This window comes from Homo sapiens, chromosome 1 (genome assembly GCF_000001405.40).
Source record: "Homo sapiens chromosome 1, GRCh38.p14 Primary Assembly".
NCBI classification, from domain to species: domain Eukaryota; kingdom Metazoa; phylum Chordata; class Mammalia; order Primates; family Hominidae; genus Homo; species Homo sapiens.
In genome coordinates, this window is record NC_000001.11 from 28182328 (window position 1) to 28206015 (window position 23688).

The following is a 23688-nucleotide window of genomic DNA, read 5'->3' on the forward strand; positions in this document are numbered from 1 at the left end:
TCTGTCAAAAAAAGAAAGAGAGAGAGAGAAAAGGAAGGAAGGGAGGGAGGGAGGGAAATTGAGCATTGCCAGGCATGGTGGCTTATACCTATAATCCCAGCACTTTGGGAGGTCCAGGTGGTCCTCACTTGAGGACAGGAGTTTGAGACCAGCCTGGACAACATAGCCAGACTCCATCTTTACAAAAACTTTTTAAAATTCGCTGCAGTGAGCCATGATCATGCCACTGCACTCCAGCCTACATGGCAGAGTGAGACCCTGTCTCTTAAAAAAAAAAAAAGTGTGCTGATAATTGTTGAAGCTGGCTAAGGGTACATGAGGATCCATTATACCTTTAAATGTACTGTTGCACATGTTTTCTGTTCTTTTTGAGACGGAGTCTCACTTTTGTCACCCAGGCTGGAGCGCAACGGCACGATCTCGGCTCCCTGCAACCTCCGCCTCCCGCTTTCAAGTGAGTCTCCTGCCTCAATGTCCCAAGTAGCTGGGATTACAGGCACCTGCCACCATCCCTGGCTAATTTTTGTATTTGTAGTAGAGATGGGGTTTCACCATGTTGGCCAGGCTAGTCTCGAACTCCTGACCTCAAGTGATCCACCCACCTCAGCCTCCCAAAGTGCTGGGATTACAGGTGCGAGCCACCAGGCCCGGTGGTTTTCAATTTTTTATAATTAAGAAAGGGTTTTTTGCTGTTTGTTTTTTAAAGAAATTCAATTTTGTGTTTGTTTTTTAAAGCAATACTTGTTGAGCTTTTGAGATCAGAACAGCAGTGAAAAAGAAAACTGTCCCAATGTTATGTAGTGGATAATTGTGTCTTGGGATATAATTTTCCTGTGATAGCATCTTATTGGGATGTTAAGTGCTGTATCTCATTCAATGGAGACGGAAGTGAAAAGTATGCAGCCTAGAAAGCTCTGTTAAATGACAGAAAAGGGGCTCCAACAACAATGAAGATGCTGGCGTAAAAGATGCTTATACATTTGTTTCATGAAATTTGAGTGCAAAAAAGAAATATTTATAAAATAACGAGCTATTGCCCACAATATTTAAGTATATAAGTAATTAAAAGAATAAATTAAATATTATAAGTAAGGCTGGGCACAGTGTCTCACGCCTATAAAACCACATCTCTACAAGAAATACAGAAAAAATTAGCTGGACATGGCAGTGCATGCCTGTAGTCCTAGCTACTCAGGAAGCTAAGGTGGGAGGATCACTCGAGCCCAGCAGGTTGAGGGTGCAGTGAGCCGTGACTACACCACTGCCACTCCAGCCTGGGTAACAGAGTGATATCTTCTCTTCAAAATATGTGTGTGTGTAATAGGTAGGAATTTTACTGTATCAGTGGTTCTCAACCAGAGGCTCTTTTGCCCTCTAGTGAAACCCCGTCTCTACTAAAAATACAAAAATTAGCCGGGCGTGGTGGCACATGCCTGTTAATCCCAGCTACTCAAGAGGCAGAGGCAGAAGAATCACTTGAACCCGGGAGGCAGAGGTTGCAGTGAGCCAAGATCACCCCACTGCACTCCACTCCAGCCTGGGCAACAGAGCAAGACTCCATCTCAAAACAAAACAAAACAAAAAAAACTTTAAATGATGGATGGATAGATAGATAGATAGATGATAGATCCAAAATCTTGCCACTTCTCACCACCTCCACTGCTATAGCCCTGGTCCAAGTCCCTCCACCTCCCCGCTGGATTGCAGCCTCCTCCCTCGTCTCCCTGCTTCCATACTCACGTCCCCATTAGTCTGTTTTTTTTTTTTTTTTTTTTTTTTTTTTGAGCTGGAGTCTCATTCTGTCACCCAGGCTGGAGTGCAGTAGCGTGATCTCAGCTCACTCCAACCTCCGCCTCCCAGGTTCAAGCAATTCTCCTGCATCAGCCTCCCAAGTAGCTACAATTACAGGTGTGCACCACCACGCCCAACTGATTTTTGTATTTTTAGTAGAGACGGGTTTTCACCATGTTGGCCAGGCTGGTCTTGAACACCTGACCTCACGTGATCCGCCCACCTTGGCCTCCCAAAGTGCTGGGATTACAGGTGTGAGCCACCGTACCCGGCCTAGTCTGTTCTTAATACAGCAACGCGGTTGAACTATTAAACATCAGTCACATCACATCACTCCTCTGCTCAAAGCCCCCCAGGGCCTTCCATCTCACGTACAGGAGAAGTCAAAGTCCTTTAAAGCACCCTCAAGACCCTGTAAGACCTCACCTCATCTCCTACATCTCGCTCCCTCCACTGTAGTCGTTCTGTTCTTCCTGCCCTTCTTCAACACACTCTCACCTCACCCTTTTGTTTTTCCTTTTGTTTTTTTGTTTGTTTTTGAGACAGAGTCTCCCTCTGTTGCCCAGGCTGGAGTTCAGTAGTGCAATCTCAGCTCACTGCAACCTCCTCTTCCTGAGTTCCAGCGATTCTCCTTCCTCAGCCTCTCAAGTAGCTGGCATTACAGGCGTGCACCACCACACCTAGCTAATTTTTGTATTTTTAGTAGAGATGGGGTTTCACCATGTTGGCCAGGCTGGTCTCGAACTCATGACCTCAAGTGATCCACCTACCTCGGCCTTTCAAAGTGCCGGGATTACAGGCGTAAGCCACCATGCCCGGCCTCACCTCACCCTTTTGCACCTGTTGTTCTCTCTGCCTGGACCACCCTTCCTCAGACACTCAAAGTTAGGTCTTTCCTCAAAAGCCACTTTCTCAGTGGGGCCTTTCCTGACCACCCTAATAAGTTGCAGCCATCCCCCCACATTCCCAGGCTCTCATCCTGCTTTCCTTTTCTCCACAGCACATATCACATCTAATACAACATGTATTTTATTTATTTATTTACTTTGCTCATTATCTTCTCCCCAGCTAAACTGTAATCTCCTTGAGTTTATTGCCAAGATCTGGAACATTGCCTGGCACATTGCAGGTGCTGGATAAAGCTTATTGAATGAATGAATGACATTAGAGAGAGGAAGTGATTTATCCAAGTAACATAGCTGGTAGGTAACAGAGCTGGAATTAGGATCCAGATACACTAAACTAGGGCAGTCCTGCACAACTATTATAAAGGGGTTGTTCAGTTCTTTCTGCTCTCAAAACTTGTCCTTTGCCAAGAGTGTTGTGGACATTTCCTTGCTGTGAGTATCGCTTTTCTCATCAGCAAATGGAGGATAATGGGGGTGAAAGAATACCATAGGGAAAAGGGCATGGGTTTTAGAATCAAAGAGACTTGAGTTCAAATCTTGATGCCATCTGCTTTCTGTGTGAACTTGAAAAAGCCAAATTACCTCTTCAAGCCTGTTTTCTAATTTGCAAATGGGAATAATCATATAGGAATAATCACAACCTTATTCTGTTGTAAAGACTATCAGACCAAAGGAAAAAAAGGTTACGAAGATTGGGAAGGAAAAGCAAAACTGTCATCTTCGCAGATAGTATGACTATTTACATAGGAAAATTGCAGCAATTCCATAGAAAAATTATTAGAACCAAAACAGCACCTAAACAAGATTTCTGGATATAAAACCAACATGTAAAAAGCAATCATGCTCCTATAAACAAGCAATTAAATAGAAAATGACATTATTAAGAAGACACAACTTATAACAGCAAGAAAACTATTTTGGCTTTTTTTTTGTTTTTTCTTCTTTTGGCCAAAGATATGCAAGATCTTTGAGATGGAGTCTTATCCTGTCACCCATGCTGGAGTGCAGTGGCGCCATCTCAGCTCACTGCAACCTCCGCCTCCTGGGTTCAAGCAATTCTCCCACCCCAGCCTCCCCAGTAGCTGGGACTACAGGTGCACACCACATGCTCGGCTAATTTTTTTGTTTTGTTTTGTTTAGTAGAGACAGGGTTTCACCATGTTGGTCAGGCTGGTCTCGAACTCCTGACCTCAGGTGATCCGCCTTCCTCGGCCTCCCAAAGTGCTGGGATTACAGGCGTGAGCCACTGTGCCCGGCCCCAAAATGTGCAAGATCTTCATGAAGGAAATTACAAAAGTTATTTAAAAAAAAAACAAGAATTAAATAAATGGGTAGATGTACTATATTCATGCATGAGACTGTCAATATAATCAAAATACAAATTCTTTCCAATTTAATCTATAAATTCAGAACCAGTACAATCAAAATCCCAATAGTTTTCCCAGAAAATTTATAGGCTAATCCTAAAATTCGAAATGAAAAAGCAAAGCGCCAAGAGTAGCTGAGAAATTTTTGAAGAACAAGGGCATATATATGAACAACAAGGATACCTGAAAAGACTTTTCATATCACATGTCAAGTCTTACTTTAAAGTCACAGTATTAAGACAGAGTGGTGCTGGGCGTAGTGGCACACACCTGTAATCTCAGCATTTTTGGTAGGCTGAGGCAGGCGGGTCGCCTGAGGTCGGGAGTTCAAGATCAGCCTGGGCAACATGGTGAAAACCCATCTCTAATAAAAATACAAAAATTAACCCGGGGTGGTGGCACACGCCTGTAATCCTTGCTTCTGCAGAGGCTGAGGCAGTAGGATCGCCTGAACCCGGGAGACAGAGATTGCAGTGAGCCGAGATCGTGCCATTGCACTCCAGCCTGGGTAACAGAGGGAGACTCCATGTCAATCAATCAATCAATCAATCAAGACAGAGTGGTATTTTTTTCTTTTATACCAACGGGGGTCTCACTATGTTGCACAGGCTGGTCTTGAACTCCTGAGTTCAAGTGATCTGCCCGCCTCGGCCTCCCAAAGTTCTGGGATTACAGGCGTGAGCCACCTCGTCCAGCCCTCAAGAGTGATATTATCATAGTGATTCCAAAACCCATGCTCTTTTCCCTGTGGTATTCTTCCACCCACACTATCCTCCGTTTACTGATGAGAAAAGGGCTACTCACTGAAGTGAGGAGGAATAAACAGAGCAAAGGAACAAAACAGAGACCCCCATAAATAGAGAGCTCATCTATGGAAACTTGACACATATGACAGAGTTGCCATTACAGATCAATAAGAGTAGATATTAGCTACTAATAGCCACTAATAGTGCAAGTTATTAGCTATCCATTAAGGAAAAAAATAATAAAATTAGATCTCTCACTTCATATCCAGAATTAAATTCCAAATGGAATAACAACCCACGAAAAGCAAAATATGCAAAATTTTGGAAGAAAATAGAGTTGAATATCTTTATGATCTAGGGGTGAGAGAAAAAAAAATTTTTTTTTAAGACAGAGTCTCGCTCGTCACCCAAGCTGGAGTGAAGTGGTGCAGTCTTGGCTCACTGCAACCTCTGTCTCTGGGCTCAAGCCATCCTCCCACTTGAGCCTCCCGAGTAGCTAGGAATAGAGGCACCGTGTATTTTTTGTAAAGGTGGGGTTTCGCCATGTTGCCCAAGCTGTTCTCAAACTCCTGGCCTCAAGCGATCTGTCCACCTCAGTCTCCCAAAGAGCTGGGATTACGGGCGTGAGGCACCATGCCCAGCCAAGAAAACTTCTTAAATTAAGACATGGAAATTACACATAATAAAGAAAAGCTGGATAAATTTGACCATAGAAATGTGAAAACTGTACATTAAAAGACACTGTAAAACTGATGAAAGCCAGGTGCAGTGGCTCACACCTGTAATCCCAGCACTTTGGGAGGCTGAGGCAGGCCGATCAATTGAGCCCAGGGTTCAAAACCAGCCTGGGCAACATAGCAAGACCTCATCTCTACTGAAAATACAAAAATGGCCGGGAGCAGTGGCTCACACCTGTAACCCCAGCACTTTGGGAGGCTGAGGCAGGTGGATCAATTGAGCCCAGCAGTTCAAAACCAGCCTGGGCAACATAGCAAGACCTCATCTCTACTGAAAATACAAAAATGGCTGGGAGCAGTGGCTCACACCTGTAACCCCAGCACTTTGGGAGGATGAAGCTGGCAGATCGCTTGAACCCAGGAGTTCGAGACCAGCTTGGGCAACGTATCAAGACGCTGTCTCTACTAAAAATACAAAAACTAGCCTGGTGTGATGGTGCACGCCTGTAATCCCAGCTACTTAGGAGGCTGAGGCATGAGAATCACTTGAGCCCAAGAGGCAGAGGTTGCACTGAGCCAAGATCTTGCCACTGCACGCCAGCCTGGGTGACAGAGGGGGACTCTGTCTCAAAAAACAAACAGGCTGGGTACAGTGGCTCATGCCTGTATCCTAGCACTTTGGGAGGCCAAGGCAGGAGGATCATCTGAGGTCAGGAATTCGAGACCAGCACGGCCAACGTGGTGAAACCCCGTCTCTACTAAAAATACAAAAAATTAGCTGGGTGACAGGCCCCTATAATCCCAGCTATTCAGCAGGCTGAGGCAGGAGAATCCCTTGAATCCTAGAGGTGGAGGAACCCGGGAGATCGCACCACTGCACTCCAGCCTGGGCAACAAGAGTGAAACTCCATCTAAAAAAAAACAAAAACCAAAAACTGATGAAGAGTCACAAATCAGAAGATATTTGCAACATATATAACAAAGAATTTTCAGGCATTGCATAATATAAATTTTAGAAGTCAACAAAAGAAAAACCCAATAGAAAAATGAGTCAATAAAGGAATAGGCAATTCACAGAAGGAAAAGCCCAAATGACCGAGAAATATAAAAATATAGTCAACATTTCAGGAAATCAGGAGCCTAAGTTAAAACAATCACCACCCACCTGAATAGAAGAAATTCAAGTCTGGCAGTTCCAAGTACTGGAGAGGATACAGAGCGATGGAAACTCTCATTACCCTGCCAAAAGACAGTGCAACTGCCACTACTATTTTGGAAGTTAATTTCATAATCAATGCTTGCCAGATGTTGTGCCAATTAAAAGAAAAATAAAATAATAAAAAATAATAGTTGTACAATAAAGTTGAAAATGTGCACATTCTTCCTAGGTATTTACCAAAAATATTAAACACAGAAATAAGGAAACAGACATTTGTATGATTCTTCAGTGCGATCCTGTACATATGTTAAAATGAGAAGAGCTGCATATAATAACAAAGATAATAAACATAATGCGGCCGGGCATGGTTGCTCATGCCTGTAATCTCAGCACTTTGGGAGACGGAGGCGGGCAGATCACGAGGTCAGGAGTTCGAGACCAGCCTGTTCAATATGGTAAAACCCCATCTCTACTTTTTAATACAAAAATTAGCCGGGCATGGTGGCGCGCGCCTGTAGTCCCAGCTACTCATGAGGCTGAGGCAGGAGAATCGCTTGAACCCAGGAGGTGGAGGTTGCAGTGAGCCGAGATGGTGCCCCTGCACTCCAACCTGGGCAACAGAGTGAGATTCCGTCTTTAAATAAATAAATAAATATAAATAAACATAATGCGATACTAAAAAAGCATGTTGCAGAGGATAAATTATACTTTTTGAGACAAGCTCATGCACTCCAGGCTGGAGTGCAGTGGCATGATCTTGGCTCACTGCAACCTCCACCTCCTGGGCTCAAGGCGTCCTCCCACCTCAGCCTCCCGAGTAGCAGAGACTACAGGTGCACACCACTGTGTCCAGCTAACTTTTGTATATTTTGTAGAGACAGGGTTTCACCATGTTGGTCAGGCTGTTCTCTAAATCCTGGAATCAAGTGATCTGCCTGCCTTAGTCTCCCAAAGTGCTGGGATTACAGGCATGAGCCACCATGCCTGGCCAAATAACATTTATTTTTTTTGAGATGGAGTTTTGCTCTTGTTCGTTGCCCAGGCTGGAGTGCAGTGGTGCAATCTCGGCTCACTGCAACCTCCACCTCCCAGGTTCAAGCGATTCTCCTGCCTCGGCCTCCCAAGTAGCTAGGATTATGGTCATGTGCCACCACGCCCGGCTAATTTTGTATTTTTAGTAGAGACGGGGTTTCTCCATGTTGGTCACGCTGGTCTCAAACTCCCGACCTCAGATGATCCGCCTGCCTGGGCCTCAGAGTGCTGGGATTACAGGCGTGAGCCACCATGCCTGGCCAGATAACATTTCTTAGCACATTAACACATTATTATGCTGGAGAATGCAATACACATGCATCCACATATAAAGACAAATTCAGGATATGATTACCTCTGGGAAAGAGGGGGTGGAATGAGTGTGGGTACACAGGAGGCTTCTATTACATCTGTAATATTTAACAGTGCAGTGGATACACAACTGTTTTGTAATATTATTCTACAGATTATATTTATCTTGTATTCTATAAGATAAATACATAAGCCTGAGATTGGCAAAGAGAATCTGGAGAATGAGGAAGTGAGAAGTCCAGGAATATGCCACATCATCTATCAGGCTTGCCATTAAGTCGTAGTAGTTAAGAAGGGGTGGTATAGACAATATCAAGGATAGACAATAGTGCAAAATAACAGAATAGAGAAAGAGTCACGGGAGGAAGGGGACTGCTCTAAAACCAGAGGTCTCTGAGAGCCCAAAAGTAACTTAGGCAGCAAGTTCCCAGGGAGACTCCTGGGGATGGACAGCCCTGAATCTTCTCTTCCTCCTCACCACAACCTCAGCTTCTCTCTTGGGCTCTCTCTCCCTCTCTCTCACAGCCTTCCTCAAACTTAGGGAGTTTCAATCTCACCTCTGCCACTTCACAACGGTGTCACCTTGGACAAGTCCCTGGGCCTCCCTGAGCCTCAGAGTCTTCATCTGTGAAGCACTGCCATCCTCACAATGGGATTAGGCCGGTAAAGGACGCCTGGCCGCTATCATTCTCCTCTCTTTTCTCCTCTTCCTCTTCCTCTCCCTCACCCTTTCCCTCCCTTGCTCAGGGCTGAGTCCTGCTGGCCCTCCCTCTTCAGCTCGGGAGCAAAGCAAGACCTGCTCCGCTCCCTATCTTGTAAGAAAGGTCACCGTGGCATGCACTGTATCCTGAGAGGAAGACTCAGAGATGTGGCCAGGCCTCGCGGGGGAGGCCTGACAGGGAGAACAATCCAGACCAGGAAATTCAAAGGCAGGGAGGTCCCTAGAGGTTTAGGGCAGCAGAGGACTTAAGTTGGAAGAAGCCCTAGATGAGGCCGCTGGCTTTGCCTGGGCAGGGGAGGGCCTGGGAAAGCCCACAGAGCCTGGGCACTCTTCATAGACCTAGAAAGCTATGACATTGGTATGAAATGTAACTGTCATGAGTCTAACTCAGTGGTTAAAAGAAACGTCTCCAGCCGGGCGCAGTGGTATATGCCTGTAGTCCAAGCGTTTTGGGAGGCCAGGGTGGGTGGACCACTTGAGCTCAGGAGTTTGAGACCAGCCTGAGCAACATAGCGAAACCTCATCTCTACAAAAAGAAAAAAGAAAAGAGAGAGAGAGAGAGAGAGAGAGAGAGAGGTCTCCTAGAGTAACTCAGGCTTCCTCCAAGAGGGAGATAGGGTGGTTGGAGAACAAGGATAGGAGAGCGTCTTTTCTCTATGTACTCTTTTATATCTATTGAACTTTTAACTTGCTAATTTGTTAACTCTCTCTCTTTTTTTTTTTTAATTAAAAAAAAAAGAGGCCAGGTGTGGTAGCTCATGCCTGCTGCAATCCCAGCACTCTGAGAAGCCAAGGCGAGAGGATCGCTTGAGTTCAGGAGTTCAAAACCAGCCTAGGCAACATGATGAAACCCTGTCTCTACAAAAAAATATAAAAATTAGCTGGTCATGGTGGTGCATGCCTGTGGTCCCAGTTACTCATGAAGGGACTGAGGCGGGAGGATCGTTTGAGCCTGGGGTCTCCAGGCTGCTATGAGCTGAGATCGTGCCGCCACTGCCCTCCAACCTGGATGACAGAGTGAGATTGTGTCTCAATAAATAAATAGTAAAACATTTAAAAAAAAAAAGGTGGACTCTGGGACCAGACTCACCTAAGTTTAAATTCCATTACAGCCTCTTAGTTGTGGTACATTAGGCAAGTTTCTTAACCTCTCTGAGCCTATTTCCATAGTTGTAAAATGAAGATAATAATACCTACTTCATAAAGGTTTTACACAACTGCATAAGATAATACTTGTGGCCGGGCGCAGTGGCTTATGCCTGTAATCCCAGCACTTTGGGAGACCGAGGCGGGTGGATCACCTGAGGTCAGGAGTTCGAGACCAGCCTGACCAACATGGAGAAACCCCGTCTCTACAAAAATAGAAAATTAGCCGGGCATGATGGCACATGCCTGTAATCCCAGCTACTTGGAAGTCTGAGGCAGGAGAATCACTTGAACCTGGGAGGTGGAGGTCGCAGTGAGCCAAGATCACGCCATTGCACTCCAGCCTGGGCAATGAGAGCAAAACTCCGTCTCAAAAAAAAAAAAAAAAAAAAGATAATGTTTGTAAAAGCCTTGGTGTTTGGCTCCCAGGAGGCATGTGGTAAATGCTGGGTTTTTTTTTTGTTTGTTTGTTTGTTTTTAAGACAGAGTCTCGCTCTGTGCCCAGGCTGGAGTGCAGTGGTGGGATCTCAGCTCACCGTAACCTCCGCTTCTCGGGTTCAAGTGATTCTCCTGCCTCAACCTCCCAAGTAGCTGGGATTACAGGCACCCGCCACCATGCCGGGCTAATTTTTGTGTTTTTAGTAGAAACATGGTTTCACCATGTTGGCCGGGCTGGTCTCGAACTCCCGACCTCAGGTGATCCACCTGTGTTTTTATTATCAGTGTGCTCTAAGTCCTAGGGCCATAGGAAGCAGCACTGAGACAGCTGGGAGTGCTAGCTTCTCCTGTCATGCTCTTTAGTGCGGCTGGGACCCCCGGCTCAGCTCTGCCCTTCTTGCTCCACTGTGTGGCCTGGCTGCCAGTGCATGAGCTCGGGAGGGTAAGAAGTGGGGATGGGATTACTGACCTACTGACTGAACAGTAGGGCGGGTGCATCTAGGGGAAGGGGAGTTCTGTGATATGTACAGATGGTTGCATTGCTGTGTGTCTGTGTGTGTGTGTGTGTAGGGAAGATATTTGTGAGACCTTGCGGAGTAGGTTTGTTTGCAGTGAGTGGGTGGAGGGTCTTCCGGGTTGGGGTGTGGATCTGTCAGTGCAGTTGTGCATGTTGTGTGTCTGTAAGGATGTTTTCCCTTGGGTTAGGATCTGCATCATGTGAGGCAATATTGTCCGTTGGTGCCCGTTCGTGTATGTGTATAGGGAGGGTCATGGGTTGTATCTGTGGATGATGAGGGTCTGTTGTGTGTTGTGAAGGGATTCTGTGGGTGACGAGGATGTGTTTTGTGTGGTGTGTGAGGAATGCTGCGTCTGTTGGTGAGTGTGTGTGAATGGCCCTGAGGGGTGAGAGGATTGTGCTGTGTCTGTGGGCAACAAAGACGGGCCATGTGTCCTTGAGGGGGTGCCAACAGGAGGGAAATCAGACATCACCTAGCTCTGTGGACCCTTCCAGAATCTGAGCAGCCCTGGGGATTCTGCAGGGCAGCTAGACAAAGCGGCCGAAACTTAGCCCTTCCCTCAGGCCACCAGCCTCTTACCTGAGAAACAGCAGGGACAATGGTCCAGGCAGTGACAAAGAGGCTGAGGCAGATGGGGGTCCCCTGAGAGCATGTTTCCTGGACGGCTTCTCGGGGAGGTCCTGGATGACTTCTCGGGGAGCTCAGGAAGCAGGTAATGAGTGCACAGGAGGCAGAGGACGGGCCCAGGCACAGGTGTGTGACTCACTCTGCTCTACCCTCCAATGAGCAGCAGCAGGATGAAGGATTAGGAAAGGCCTGCCCCCGGGCTCTGCTGGGTGGGCAGGGCAGCTGAGGCCAGGAAGCCAGCTCCTGGGGCGGGGCCCCAACACCAAGGTCACCGGGAATACCCACATCCAGCCAGGCACACCAGCTCATCCCACAATACTGGGCTGGGCCCCTCTGATGCTGCGCCCCTCTGGGAGGAAGGGCTGGGCTTGGGCTGGCAGGGGAGAGAGGAACTGGGTCCTTTGACTGAGGGGGAGATGAGCCCTGACCTAGAGAAGGTTTTAGCCCTGTCCTCAGGAGCCCCCAGCCTGGGGGAGATGGGGACACAGCCCTGTCCTCAGGAGCCCCAAGCCTGGGGGAGATGGGGACACAGCCCTGTCCTCAGGAGTCCCCAGCCTGGGGGAGATGGGGACACAGCCCTGTCCTCGGGAGCCCGGGCTTCAATTCAATGGGTACAGCCCCAAATCCAGTGAGCCCCAAGTTGATGAAAAAGACCCAAAGCTGCTTTCAGAAGGCACCCTGTCTGAGGGGACACACAGCCAGTTTGCCCACAGGAGGCCAGTACAATGGGTGTGACAAAGCCCTGCCCACAGGTGCCCTCAACAGAAGGGGAGACAGACCTGCCTTCAGAAATGCCCAGCCTCTGGGAAAGAGAAGTTTCTGCCTTCTGAAGCCATATCCGGCTGAGAGGGAGACAAAGCCATCCCTGTCCCCATAGCCATCAGGCTGAGGGAGAAGACAAACCCTTGCACCTCAGAGTTCTGGCAAAAGCCTAGGACTGCACCCAGTGCTCCAGCTTTGCACGTTCTGCACTGAAAGTTACTCTATTTCTATTAATACCTCTCCCCACCGCCCCCTACCACAACCAAAATATTGGGCTTAGCAGGGAGCAGAGGTGTCAGGCCACAGAGGAAAGCAAACTGGGCCATGGCATAGGTGAACATTCTCAAATGCCAGCTCTAAGAATCTGCCAGATGAGGGCTTAACCGCCGCCTCTGGTCCTCAGCTTGAGCCCTGCAGTGAATGTTTTCTGAGCCTATTTCCTGAGTCTGTAAGAGCCACACATACTCCCTACCTCACACTTAGCATGATGACTGGCACGTACCAGGAATTCAGTAAATGAAAATCACTTTATTTACCCAAGCTCCTGTTGAGTGTCCCAGGCTTAGGGGTCAACTCCTTTCCCCACATCAGACTCAGTTGGAGAACTTGTTAAAAATAAAAGTTTAGCCGGGCGGGGTGGCTCACGCCTGTAATCCTAGCACTTTGGGAGGCTGAGGTGAGTGGATCACCCAAGGTCAGGAGTTCAAGACCAGCCTGGTCAACATGGTGAAACCCCGTCTGTACTAAAAATACAAAAATTAGCCAGGCATGGTGGTGGGCGCCTGTAATCCCAGCTACTCGGGAGGCTGAGGCAGGAGAATCGCTTGAACCCAGGAGGTCGAGGTTGCAGTGAGCTGAGATTGCACCATTGCACCCCAGCCTGGTTGACAAGAGTGAGACTCCATCTCAAAAAAATAAAAAATAAAATAAATTAATTAAATAAAGGCTTAGGCCAGGCGTAGTGGTGTATGTCTGTAATCTCATCACTGTGGGAGGCTGCCGTAGAGGATCACTTGAGACCAGGAGTTCGAGACCAGCCTGGGCAACAAATCCAGACCCCATCTCTACCAAGAAAAAAAAAATTAGCTAAGTATGGTGGTTTGCACCTGCAGTCCCAGCTATTTGGGAGACTGAGGTAGGAGGATCGTTCAAGCCCAGGAGATTGAGGCTGCAGTGAGCCATGATTGCAACTGCACTCCAGCCTGGGTGACAGAGCAAGACCCCATTTCAAAAAAAAAAAAAAAAAAAGATTCTGATATAGCAGTGCTGGTGATGGGGCCAGGAAGAGTAAAATTTTAACAAGCACCCAGGCGATTCCAAGGTAGCAGCCCATGGAGCAATACAGGCTTGGAAGGACTCCAGAGGAAGCCAAGGAGAGGAGGGTTCAATCCTTCAGAGGCTGTTTCTAGCTATGCTTGCCTATCTCCCACCAGAGGAATGGCAGCCCCACTAAGCCACAGGTATGTGGTTAGGATAATGGCATCACTGACAGAACCCTAAGCTCTACCCACCCCCCACCTCTTGGAGGACTGGCTGTCCCTGCCTGATGGCTCCATCCCTGGCTGGGTTAAGTTGGGAGCTTGTTAAAGATCCAGCTGTCTGTCTCCCCACCACACACACACATACCCCACCCTGAATCAGAATCTTCAGGGAGATCAGAAAATGTCCTTGTAGGCCAGGTGCGGTGGCTTATGCCTATAATCCTAGCACTGTAGGAGGTTGAGGTGGGAGGACTACTTGAGCTCCGGAGTTCGAGACCAGCCTGAGCAACATAGTGAGGCAGGATAGTTTGAGCCCGGGAGGTTGAGGCAGCAGTGAGCCATGATCATCGTGCCACCACACTGCAGCCTGGGCAACAAAGACCCTGTCTCAAAAAAAAAAAAAAAAAAAAAGAAATGTCTTTTTAACAAGCTTCCCAGGTGTCCTCAATCCTCAGCTCTTTCATCCCTTTATTTAAGCAGGGAACAACCAGCAGGAGTGGGGCAGAGAGGAACGGCCACTGTGCACCCCACTGTGCTGGGCACCTGGCTTCCCTGACCTCCTCAGTCCTCAGGATACCACACACAGTAGAGTCAGGATTCAAACTCCAGTCTGTCTGATGCCAAATGCAGGCATATTGTCTCCATTTGGAAGGTTTGCCTCCATTTGTTTTATAATGAACAGAATCTCACTAATTTGCAAAACAGGAATGGAGACGGTGTTTTTACCCTCATTTTACCAGAGGAGGCAGCTAAAGTCCAGAGAGGGGAAATGATTTGCCAGAGACACAATGCTAATGAGTGGTAGAGCAGAAAACTCAAGGAGGTGGGTGACTTCACGCCCTTTTGCACTCATTCCACAGGGCCCTTGTCGAGCTCCGAGCCCCCAGTTCTAATGGTGAGAAGCACTGATAACCTCCAGCAAGAGGCAGATGATCCAGATGTGCTAGGTTGAGGTTGGGGAGAGGGAGAAGGAAATCTAGAGGGGCAAATCCTGTTTCCTTGAGTTCCACCCTTACAGCAGGCCCAGACCCATCCACAACCTCCCACACATTTCTTCCTACTTCCACTGGGGCCCCAGGGAAGCGGGAGGGGCCAGAAAGTGAAGCTGGCTGTGGCTGCTCCAGGAAGCAGCTGAGAAGCCACAGCCATAGGGTTGCGGGCGTTCAGGTGACTGGAATGCCGAAGGCAACAACAGCTGATGCTTTCTTTCAGTGGTTACAATTTTTTTTTTTTTTTTTTTGAGACGGAGTCTCGCTCTGTCACCCAGGCTGGAGTGCAGTGGCACAAGATCTTGGCTCACTGCCTGCAACCTCCACCTCCGGGGTTCGTGATTCTCCTGCCTCAGCTTCCCAAGTAGCTGGGACACAGGCACGTACCACCATGCCTGCACCACCGTGCCCAGCTAATTTTTTATTTTTAGTAGAGACGGGGTTTCACTATGTTGGCCGGGGTGGTCTCAAACTCCTGACCTCTAGTGATCTGCCTGCATCGGCCTCTCAAAGTGCTCGGATTACAGGCATGAACCACCACGCCCAGCCTACACTTCATTTTAAAGGTGCAGTTCCCACTTTACATACCAGGATGCTGAGGCTCAGAGTTGATGTTACTGGCCCATATGCCGGGTTTCTACCCATACCTGGCTGGCTCCTTCCACCTCACCTCTGCCCACAAAGGTCCTCTTGCCAGCAGTTGGCTCCACAGCTGGGGAGCCTATCTGCTCCACTATTTACAGAAAACAAGAAAAGTGGCTCATCCAGCCTTTCATTTTCTTCTGGGCCCTGGCACTCCTCCAGCAAGCCTTCCCTACCCAGAGAGCTCCCCTTAACCTATTCATGGATGAAGGGGTGGGAGAGGATGGCACTGCCATAGCCACAGCCCCACCCTGGAGGCCGGTCTTGACTGTACTGCCTCAAGTCAATGCCCAGCATACACTCCTCTCCCCAGCCACGTCATCACAGAGATTGCTCCAAGCAGGGTTATGAGAATGGGCTGGGACCACTGCTGATCTTCCCAGTGGGTCTGTCACTAAAATGTGCCAGAAAGTAAGTGGGAAGACTTTGGTCCATCTAGGAAAATACGATGTCCTGACTGAAACCCAAATTCCTCAATATGCCATTACGATCTCCCTGATCTCATCTCACCTCACGTCTGTGCTCTAAGCATAACAAATGTTGTTCAGTCCCATGAATGGGCTATTCTCTTACCTTCTGGGCCTTTGCACATGCCACTCTCTCTGACTGAAACACCTTTCCCTCAAGTCCCACCCCTTCTGTGCCAGACACTGTTGTTTCTAGCAGGCATTCTTTTTTTTTTTTTTTGAGACGGAGTTTCATTGTCGCCCAGGATGGAGTGCAGTGGCGCGATCTCGGCTCACTGCAAGATCCACATCCCGAGTTCACGCCATTCTCCTGCCTCAGCCTCCCGAGTAGCTGGGACTACAGGCGCCTGCTACCACGTCCGGCTAATTTTTTGTATTTTTAGTAGAGACAGGGTGTCACCGTGTTAGCCAGGATGGCCTCGATCTCCTGACCTTGTGATCCGCCTGCCTTGACCTCCCAAAGTGCTGGGATTACAGGCGTGAGCCACCCCACCCGGCCTTTCCAGCAGGCATTCTTTCATCTTTACCAACTTAATTTTATTGGAAACAGGTGCCCAATCCCAAGGAGTAAGGCTTGGTATATTGCCTGTCTGTTCTTCGCAGCTCTCCCAGCCAAACTTACCAAGAGGGGTCCCTGTGACCCATTTTCTAACCAGTGACATCTTCTGGGAAAAATTTTGCTCCCTGGATGACTTATTTCTGTTTGGTAGTTGTTATAAGATGTGGTGCTAGAAACTTCTTGCAACTATGAGATGCCAAACCCTCCACAGAGGACGGAGAAGCATAGTAAGAGCCTGTTTCCCTGGAGGTATTACTGAATGAATGATTCCACCATGAACAATACCTGAAACCACCTGTCTCCACTTATGGAAGTAAAATATTCCTCTAATTCTTTTTGCCAGTTATTCCTTGCAGCCAAAACACTCCTAACTGATGCATCAGCCCCTGGGTTCCAGTTTTTAAAAGGGCCACTTTCTTCAGGAAACATTCCCTGGCTGCTAAAAATGAGATCAAGGGCCCCCTTCTCGGAGCAGTGGACAGTCTTCTTGCCCGTGTGCCCCAGCTGTGAGGCAGGCAACAGGGGTCCTGCAGTGTTCACCACTGTATTTCTAAACCAGCATATTTGTTCAATGAATAAACACACCTGATATGATTTGGATTTGTGTCCCCACCCAAATCTCATGCCCAATTGTAATCCCCCACGTTGGAGGAGGGACCTGGTAAGAGGTCATATGATCCATATGTTTGGATCATAGGGGCCGCCCCCTTTGCTGTTCTTGTGATAGTGAGTTCTTATCTATCACTATCCAGATAGTGAGATCTGGTTGTTTAAAAGCGTACAGCACCTCTCCCTGCGCTCTCTTCCTCCTGCTCCGGCCATGTAAGACGTGCCTCCTTCCTCTTCACCTTCTGCCACAACTGTTAAGTTTCCTGAGGCCTCCCCAGCCATGCTTCCTGTAAAGCCTGTGAAACCATGAGTCAATTAAACCTCTTTTCTTTATAAATTACCCAGTCTCAGGTAGTTCTTCATAGCAGTGTGAGAACTAACACCCATAGCTAATTGCTGGCACAGCCTCCTTGAGGGCAAAGGTAAGTTTGCAGATAGCTGAACTGAACCACCACCACTTAACCTCTAAGGAAGCGGTGTGTGCACCCACATCCTGGACTGAAATGGGGTTGCTTGGCTTTGCTTGGCTAGAAAAGATAATCACTGCCCCCCTAGTCAGGACTGCATTACCTCACGGCATGTATCACTTTTGCAGGGCAACTAAACATTTTCTCCCCCTGCCTTGGTCCAGTTTTAGCCAGAAGCACACCCACCCACCCACCCACTCATCACTGTGCTCTACTTCACATGTGGTTTGGATGTGCTCAGTGGTACTTGGAAGGACAGTAAGACACCCAAGCCTCTGTCCTCTCCCACAGAGAAATGAAAGTTGCACTTCTCATGATACTAAAAGACATGGTGCCTTTCGTAGTCATTGTGCCTGTTTACTCATCTACAAGACATTGCAAAAAGCAAAACTCTAGTTTTGAGTCACCTAGTTTCCTGTATCTTCACATTTCAAGTGTCACCTTTCCCCTTCTCACTTTGGGCCCCTCCTGAGGGCTGATTCTGTCCCTGAAAGCAAGCAGGACATTTAAGCATAGACTGTGAGCTGGACGCTTTCATATATTACTTCATTTAATCCTCAAAACAATCAGTATCTTCATTTTACACAGAAATAATAGGATATTGGCAATACCCAAGGAGCACTATGGTAGTTACCTTGTATATGCCATGGCAAATCTGCCCTAAAAGCTGCTGCAGTAATTCATATTCCCATTTCATAGATGAAGAAACTAAGGTTCAGCCAGGTCTGTCCAACCCCAAAGCATTTTGGGGTTCAGCCAAGCCAGACAAGGGACCCACAAGGGAGAGTACAAGGAAAAGTACATCAATGGCTTGGGTATAAAAATTTATTATACATAAAGAATATTACCACTAACAAATGCAGACAGGCTAGGACATGGTACTGGGTGGAGGACGGCTAGCTCTTTGGAAAGTGAAAGGTTTGGGTGGCGTGGGCCTCATGCCACACTGATTGGTCAGTAGACAGGGGGCACATGCCAAACACCACAGGGCATCAGATGCTGCTCTGTGTGCTCACAAGTGTTCCCTGTCTTATCTGGGCCTTCGAAGGGAGCACACCCAGAAGCGAGCAACTGAAGCGAAGGGGCTTCCTAAGGTGCCCCTTCCAGGCTTGTCTCTGAAGTCACAGCAACACTGTTTTAAGCAGTATGTTTAATTGGATGATTTCCACAAACTATCCACGAAGTTTCTAACCATCACAATTCAGTGAAGTACAAAACACTGAGTTACAGGCTGTGGGAAGAGAAGGCAGCACCAATGGTGGCACCTTCTAATACTGGTTGTTCTAGGGGCAGGGAGAGGGAAAGGTCTTTTTTTAAACCAAGCCCCTCATTTCAATGTACAAAAGAATTACTCTGATCGATATTAAATCGTATTGAAAACAAAATGGACTAAAAAGCAAATACTACTCTATGTTGGGGTGGAAGTGGGAGGAAAGAATGAGTCCTTCGAAGCAGGAAGGGAGATAGCAGGGGAAAGGTTCTGTGCCTGTGACCTTGGGCGGTCACTCACGTTGCTCCATTTTTACTTTCGGTGGTCTCAGGAAGGTCCGATTTTTCTTCTCTTTCTTCCCCTTCGTATTGGCTTGGAAGTTTCGCCAGCTGTCCACACGACCATCTCGACTTTCCTAAGTACAAAAGAAGTTTGAGGTGAGGAGACCAGTCAATGAGTGGAAAGGCCTAAACCTGGTCTGCCATCCACTCACCCTCCTGTAGCCCAGCCCACTTCAGTCCTCTGGAATAACCCAAGAGTAGAATAGAGCTGGCCAGGCACAGTGGCTCATACCTATAATCCCAGCACTTCGGGAGGCCGAGGCGGGCAGATCACCTGAGGTCAGGAGTTCAAGACCAGCCTGGCCAACATGGTGAAACCCTGTGTCTAATAAAAATACAAAAATTAGCCGGGCGTGGTGGCAGGTGCCTGTAATCCCAGCTACTCGGGAGGCTGAGGCAGGAGAATCGCTTGAGCCTGGCAGGCAGAGGTTGCAGTGAGCCCAGACCATGCCACTGCACTCCAGCCTGAACAACAAGAGCGAGACTTTGTATCAAAAAAAAAAAAAAGAAAAGAAAAAAAGAAAAAAGAGTAGAATAGGCCAGGCATGGTGGCTCACACATCAGGTGGATCACCTGAGGTTGGGAGTTCGAGACCAGCCTGACCAATATGGAGAAACCCCATCTCTACTAAAAATATAAAAAGTTAGCCGGGCATGGTGGCGCATGCCTGTTAATCCCAGCTACTCGGGAGGCTGAGGCAGGAGAATCACTTGAACCTGGGAGGCGGAGGTCGCAGTGAGCCAAGATCACGCCATCGCACTCCAGCCTGAGCAACAAGGGCAAAACTCCGTCTCAAAAAAAAAGTAGAATAGAGCTTTCTTCCCACTCCCAAGGGCCCAAGAAAGTGTCATAGCACCCCTAGAACGCAGGATGAGCTGCAGGTTGCAAGAGGAGGACGAAATCAGTAATAATCATCACAACACTGAGGCCCCATTTGTTGGGGACCTCGAGGCTAGACGTTTAACATGGTTTTTTTTGTTGTCATTGTTGTTGTCTTTTGTGAGATGCAGTCTCGCTCTGTTGCCCAGGCTGGAGTGCAGTGGTGCGATCTCGGCTCACTACAACCTCTGCCTCCCGGGTTCACATCATTCTCCTGCCTCAGCCTCCTGAATAGCTGGGACTAAAGGGGCCCGCCACCACGCCCGGCTAATTTTTTGTATTTTTAGTAGAGACGGGGTTTCACCGTGTTAGCCAGGATGGTTTCGATCTCCTGACCTCATGATCCGCCTGCCGTGGCCTCCCAAAGTGCTGGGATTACAGGCATGAGCCACCTCACCCGGCCTTTTTTTTTCTTTTTTTTTTTTTTTTTGAGACGGCTCTGTCACCCAGGCTGGAGTGCAGTGGCACAATCTTGGCTCACTGCAAGCTCCACCTCCTGGGTTCACACCGTTCTCCTGCCTCAGCCTCCTGAGTAGCTGAGACTACAGGTGCCAGCCACCACACCTGGCTAATTTTTTGTATTTTTTTAGTAGAGACAGGGTTTCACCATGTTAGCCAGGATGGTCTCAATCTCCTGACCTCATGATCTGCCCGCCTTGGCCTCCCAAAGTGCTGGGATTACAGGCTTGAGCCACCACGCCCGGCCAGCATATGGTATTTCTAATTGTCACCAAAAGCCGACTATGGTGTGTACTGCTACCAGTGCTTCACAAATAACACTGAGGCTCAAAAAGGTTAAATGATTTTCTAAAAGCCATACAGCTAGCTAGCAGTACAGCTACTCTTTCCACTGCACCTTTCTGCTGCCCCCCAAAACTTGGATGGCTGCTCCAAAGCCAGTACAATGCCTAGCGAGTTGTGTAGGGGTGGCCACTAGGACCTCTACCTCATTATCATTTTTTCTCTTTCCATACATGAAGTGCAACAGAAACAAAGTCATCAACTCTGATTAGCCAGCCCCTAACCATGAGTCCTAAACCCTATAGAAGAAAAGACCGAATGTTGCCACAATCCTTCTGTCCAACCACCTGAAGCATATAACCAGGGTGTCAAAGAAGAGTCAAGTTCAAAGGTTCTAACTCTCTCTGCAGGTAGGACACTGTGGGCACAAGAACTTCAGCATCTACTAACAGATCTCTAAGCAGCACAATACTCTATGCTTACCCCCTAAATTAAAAGTGCAATCCATTTTTCTTGAGCCCACTGGGCAGCTGTGCCTACTACAATCTAAAAAACCATTCAGGGTGAAACTGTTAGTGTGCTGTAAAAAGAAATTAAACAATAATTTTTAAAAATAAATTTTAAAAAAGCCATTCAGGGATCCTCATCGTCCTTGCCAAGGCTACAGAGCTTACAGGAGGCTGAGGCAGGCCCAGCCTCATTCTTCACCTCTCCCACTCTTCCCCACATATCCCACTCCCCTCTGACTGCCCCACTCAGTCCTGGGAGCGCCACAGGAACCAAGCTGCCTTATTCTGGAATTAGAATCCCTGGCCACCTTGGAAATTTACCTCAAAGTTTTTCTGCCACTCTCTTTCCCGTTTGGCTTTTTCTTGAGCTTCAATCTCTTCTTCCCTTTGTCGTTTCCTAGGAGGAAAACCAGATCATAGTATTTATATGATACTTACAGACTGAATTAACCATACAAGGTGGCATCTCCCCACAGAAGCAAGCATATATAGTAAATCAATTCCCTAGAAGTCTACAAAGATGGCTGTCTGGAAAGGGCTCATAGCATTTTCATGAATGTCTCATTCTAAAACACGCAGATCAGACTTGGGCATGGCTGTGGGGAAAGACATAAATATCCTTGTTACACAGATAAAGTAACTAAAGCCCAGCCAAGAGCAATCTGAGGTTTTGGGCTCTTTCAGTGACAAAGCTATGTCGAGAACACAGGCCACCTTATTTCAGCAGAATGACCATTATAAAGCCAAAGTTCTTAAGATCTCTGGACAAAACCCTATCCGAAAACAAAGATATTTCACACAACCTCAACTAGCAAATTTTAGTTACTGGTACCTACCAAGCAACAATATAAAATACATACAGAAACAAAACTCGGCCGGATGTAGCGGCTCATGCCTGTAACGCCAGCACTTTGGGAGGCTGGGGCAGGTGGATCATGTGAGGTCAGGAGTTCGAGACCAGCCTGACCAACATGGTGAAACCCCGTCTCTACTAAAAATGCAAAAATTAGCCAGGCAGGAGAATCACCTGAACCTGGGGAGGTGGAGGTTGCAGTGAGCCAAGATCATGCCATTGCACTCCAGCCTGGGCAACAAAAGCGAAATTCTAACATTTCTGATGTTCAAGAGAAATCATATTTTAGAACATTAAACATTTTGTTACTGATGACACTACAGTACTATACACTCACCAAAGCTGTAGCCACTAGCCCCACAAAAGGTTCTGGCTTCAGTAACAATGGCCTTAATAACTGCTTATTTCACTCCAGGACATCAGGAAGAACACACACAAGGCTCTTGATTATAAATAAACTCCCTGGCAGCATGCAGTGGCTCATGCCTGTAATCCTAACACTTTGGGAGGGCAAGGCAGGCAGATCACGAGGTCAGGAGATCGAGACCATCCTGGCCAACATGGTGAAACCCTGTCTCTACTAAAATACAAAAAATTAGCCGGGCATGGTGGTGTACACCTGTAGTCCCAGCTACTCAGGAGGCTGAGGCAGGGGAACTGCTAGAACCTGGGAGGTGGAGGTTGCAGTGAGCCAAGATCGCACCACTGCATTCCAGCCTGGCTACAGAGCAAGACTGTGTCTCAAAAAAATAAATAAAAAATACACTCCCTAAGGACAGACCTATTCAATAATTCTCAAAAGTCAAAGAAAAAAACTACTTACCCTGGTGATTCAAAAGCTTGACTGTTTTTAGGTAACTATTTTTATAGTCTCTTAAATGGTATACTATATAATTCCCTCATTAGGAAAATCACCAAAGACCAATGTTAGTTAATCTAGGTATTTAAATATGGTTTAAATGAATATACTGATATGTACCTTTCATGCATCTCTTTGGCTTCTCTCTCTTTCCTTTTAATTTCCAGCTCTGCAAAGAGTTTCATTGTCTGTTTATATACAGCTTGTTTGAACTACAGGAAAATCAAGAACAAAAGAAAATCAGAGTAAATATTTTTACCAGCAACTTGAACCATGTACTTTCACCTGGAGTCCAAGATAAAGCAGATTAAAACCTGGCACAGGCTGTGCACCGTGGCTCACATCTGTAATTCCAACACTTTGGAAGGCCAAAGGCAGGAGAATCGTTTGAGGCTAAGAGCTTGACTGCCCTGGCAACATAGTGAAACTCTATTGCTACAAAAAAATTTTTTTTAAAACTAGCGTGCAGGCCAGGCGCAGTAGCTCACACCTGTAATCCCAGCACTTTGGAAGGCCAAGGTGGGCAGATCACCTGAGGCCAGGAGTTCAAGACCAGCCTGGCCAACATGGTGAAACTCTGTCTCTATCAAAAATACAAAAATTAGCCAAGCATGTTGGTGCGTGACTGTAATCCCAGCTACTCGGGAGGCTGAGGCAGGAGAATCACTTGAACCCAGGAGACAGAGGTTGCAGGGAGCTGAGATCATGCCATTGCACCCCAGCCTGGGCAACAAGAGGGAAACTCCGTCTCAAAAACAAAAATTAGCGGGGCATGGTGGTGCACACCTGTAGATCCAGCGTTTCAAGAGGCTAAGACAGCAGGATCACTTAAGCCCTGGAGTTTGAGACCACCCTGAGCAACATAGTGAGATCCCATC

General features: G+C 47.5%; 2 protein-coding genes across 4 annotated transcripts in view, besides 2 other annotated features; both read right to left on the reverse strand.

The window, feature by feature from the left end:
- Window positions 1–11529, reverse strand: part of PTAFR (platelet activating factor receptor) — a 46691-nt gene extending 35162 nt beyond the window's left edge. For both annotated transcript variants that reach the window (NM_001164722.3, NM_001164721.2), the window contains exon 1: window positions 11395–11529. The gene's annotated coding sequence lies outside the window, so the exon portion shown is untranslated. The remainder of the gene's footprint in view (window positions 1–11394) is intronic.
- Window positions 14965–15014: an enhancer, noted in NCBI's record as "active region_590". NCBI's record gives its function as "activates an Ori minimal core promoter by ATAC-STARR-seq in GM12878 lymphoblastoid cells {active_cell/tissue: GM12878}" and the evidence as "EXISTENCE:reporter gene assay evidence [ECO:0000049][PMID:35858748]".
- Window positions 17338–17667: a silencer, noted in NCBI's record as "silent region_535". NCBI's record gives its function as "represses an Ori minimal core promoter by ATAC-STARR-seq in GM12878 lymphoblastoid cells {active_cell/tissue: GM12878}" and the evidence as "EXISTENCE:reporter gene assay evidence [ECO:0000049][PMID:35858748]".
- DNAJC8 (DnaJ heat shock protein family (Hsp40) member C8) overlaps window positions 17951–23688 on the reverse strand; it is a 32752-nt gene continuing 27014 nt past the window's right edge. For both annotated transcript variants that reach the window (NR_159454.1, NM_014280.3), the window contains 3 exons: window positions 22931–23022; window positions 21420–21495; window positions 17951–19043 (listed from right to left, as the gene is read on the reverse strand). Coding sequence is in view for 1 of the 2 variants with exons in the window: in NM_014280.3 (NP_055095.2) it covers window positions 18921–19043; window positions 21420–21495; window positions 22931–23022 (291 nt within the window). In the remaining variant the exon portion in view is untranslated. The remainder of the gene's footprint in view (window positions 19044–21419; window positions 21496–22930; window positions 23023–23688) is intronic.